This window comes from Homo sapiens, chromosome Y, assembly GCF_000001405.40.
Source record: "Homo sapiens chromosome Y, GRCh38.p14 Primary Assembly".
NCBI classification, from domain to species: domain Eukaryota; kingdom Metazoa; phylum Chordata; class Mammalia; order Primates; family Hominidae; genus Homo; species Homo sapiens.
In genome coordinates this window covers 56,727,434-56,730,330 of record NC_000024.10, presented here as the reverse complement: position 1 = coordinate 56,730,330, position 2,897 = coordinate 56,727,434, and the positions used below count along the sequence as shown (strand labels likewise).

Here is a 2,897-nt window from a genome sequence, read left to right as displayed (position 1 = left end):
CTTTTGATTCCCTGCCAGTCGATTGCATTGCATACTACACCATTCCAAAGGAGTTCATTCCATTCTATCTCCACACTTTCCATTCCACTCTGTTTGAGTCCATTCCATTCCAGTCCATTTAATTCAAGGGCATTCCATTCCATTCCATTCCATTCCATTTCATATTATTCCATTCCATTCAATTCCATTCCAGATGATTCCATTCCATTCTATACCATTGCTCTCTGTTCCATTCCATTCCATCTGTCTCCATTCCTTTCGTTTCGATTCCTTTCCATTCCATTCCATTACATTTGATCCTATTTTATTAAATTGCATTCTATTCGAGTGATTTCCATTCGAGTCCTTTCCATTCGATTCCATTCCATTCTATTCCATTCCTTTGGATTCCATTCCATTCCGTTCCGTTCACATCAATTCCTGGCGATTCCATTACATTCGATTTCTTGCCATTCGATTCCATTCCTTTTGACTCCATTTCATTCGATTCCATTCCATTCCATTAATTTCCATTCCATTCGAGACCTTTCCATTGCAGTCTTTTCCCTTCGAGTCCATTCCGTTCGATTCCATTCCGTTCGATTCCCTTCCATTCGATTCCATTCCATTGGAGTCCGTACCAGTCGAGTCCATTCTATTCCAGTCCATTAGTTTCGACTCCATTGCATTCGAGTGCATTCCATTCCGTGGCTGTCCATTCCATTCCGTTTGATGCCATTCCATACGATTCCATTCAATTCGAGACCATTCTATTCCTGTCCATTCCTTGTGGTTCGATTCCATTTCACTCTAGTCCATTCCATTCCATTCAATTCCATTCGACTCTATTCCGTTCCATTCAATTCCATTCCATTCGATTCCATTTTTTTCGAGAACCTTCCATTACACTCCCTTCCATTCCAGTGCATTCCATTCCAGTCTCTTCACTTCGATTCCATTCCATTCGTTTCGATTCCTTTCCATTCCAGCCCATTCCATTCCATTCCATTCCTTTCCTTTCCGTTTCATTAGATTCCATTGCATTCCATTCCATTCAATTCAATTCCGTGCTATTCAATTTGATTCATTTCCATTTAATTCCATTCCATTAGATTCCATTCCGTACGATTCCATTCCTTTTGAATCCATTCCATTGGAGTCCATTCACTTCCAGAACATTCCATTCCAGTCGAATCCATTCGAGTACATTCCATTAAAGTTCATTACATTCTAATACATTCCATTCCATTGCATTCCATTCCATTCCATTCGATGCCATTCGATTCCATTCCATGCCAAATCATTGCATTCCTTTCCATTCCGTTCCTATCAATTCCATTCCATTCGATTTAGTTCGATTCTATTCACTTCCATTCCATTCGATTCCATTCCATTGGAGTCAATTCCTTTCGACACCCAGCCTTTCCAGTCAATGATTTTGGATTCATTTTTTTGCATCCATTACATTCTATGACATTCGATTCCGTTTCATTGCATTCCATTCCATACATTTTTATTCCATTCGAGACCGTAGCATTCCACTTTATTCCAGGCCTGTCCATTACACTACATTCCCTTCCATTCCAATGAATTCCATTCCATTCCAATCCATTCCTTTCCTTTCGCTTGCATTCCATTCTATTCTCTTCTACTGCATACAATTTCACTCCATTCGTTCCCATTCCATTCAATTCCATTCCATTCAATTCCATTCCATTTGTTTCCATTCTCTTCGATTCCATTTCTTTATATTCCATGCCATTCGATTCCATTCTATTGGGTTGCATTACATTCGTGTTCATTCCATTCCAGACCATTCCATTTGACTCCATTCCTTTCGAGCGCTTTCAATTTGAGTCCATTCCTTTCCAGTCCATTTCACTCCAGTGCATTACTATCCATTCCATACCATTCCATCCCATTCCATTCCATTCCATTCCATTCCATTCCATTCCATTCCATTCCATTGCATTCCATTCCATTCCATTCCATTGCACTGCACTCCATTCCATTACATTCTACTCTATCTGAGTCGATTTTATTGCATTAGATTCTATTCCATTGGATTACTTTCCATTCGATTACATTCCATTCATGTACATTCCATTCCAGTCAATTACATTCCAGTTCATTACGTTACATTCCAGTATATTCCATTGTATTCGATCCCATTCCTTTCAATTCCATTTCATTCGACTCCATTATATTCGATTCCATTCCACTCGAATCCATTCCATTAGCGGACATTCCATTCCAATGCATTCCATTCCATTCCATAGCATTCCATTGCATTCGATTCCATTCCATTTGATGTCATTCCATTTGATGCCATCCCATGACATTCCATTCCATTTGAGTCCATTCCGTTCCAATTCATTCCATTCCGTTTCATGAAATTCGAGTCCTTTCCAGTACATTTCATTCCAATCCCATCCAATCCCATCTACTCCATTCAATTCCTTTCCATTCCATTTGATTTGATTCCATTGATTTGATTCCATTCAGTTTCATTCCATTCCGTGAAATTTCGTTCCATTCTATTCCATTGCATTACTTTCCATTCAATTCCATTCCATTTCATTTCAGTCCATTCGCTTCCTTTCCTTTCGATTCAATTCCATTTGATTCCACTCCATTCTATGCGATTTCATTCCAATCGATTCAATTCCATTCGGTGACATTCCTTTCGTTTCCATTCCATTCGAGTCCATTTAATTTGAGCATTCGTGTCCATTCTATTCGAGTCCATTCCATTACAGTCTATTCTATTCCCTTCCATTCGTGTTGATTCAATTTCATTCCCTTCCATTCGATTCCTTTCCATTCGATTCCATTCCTTTCCATTCCATTCCATTCGTTCCCATTCCATGTGATTTCATTCCATTCCAGTCCATTATATTCGAGTCCACTCCACTCCA

At 39.1% G+C, this 2,897-nt stretch overlaps 2 annotated features.

Moving 5' to 3' along the window:
- Nucleotides 1,341–1,884: an enhancer, noted in NCBI's record as "OCT4-NANOG hESC enhancer chrY:58861881-58862424 (GRCh37/hg19 assembly coordinates)". NCBI's record gives its function as "activates a minimal SCP1, AML or CMV promoter by ChIP-STARR-seq in primed H9 embryonic stem cells {active_cell/tissue: H9 hESC(primed)}" and the evidence as "EXISTENCE:reporter gene assay evidence [ECO:0000049][PMID:30033119]".
- Nucleotides 1,885–2,428: an enhancer, noted in NCBI's record as "OCT4-NANOG hESC enhancer chrY:58862425-58862968 (GRCh37/hg19 assembly coordinates)". NCBI's record gives its function as "activates a minimal SCP1, AML or CMV promoter by ChIP-STARR-seq in primed H9 embryonic stem cells {active_cell/tissue: H9 hESC(primed)}" and the evidence as "EXISTENCE:reporter gene assay evidence [ECO:0000049][PMID:30033119]".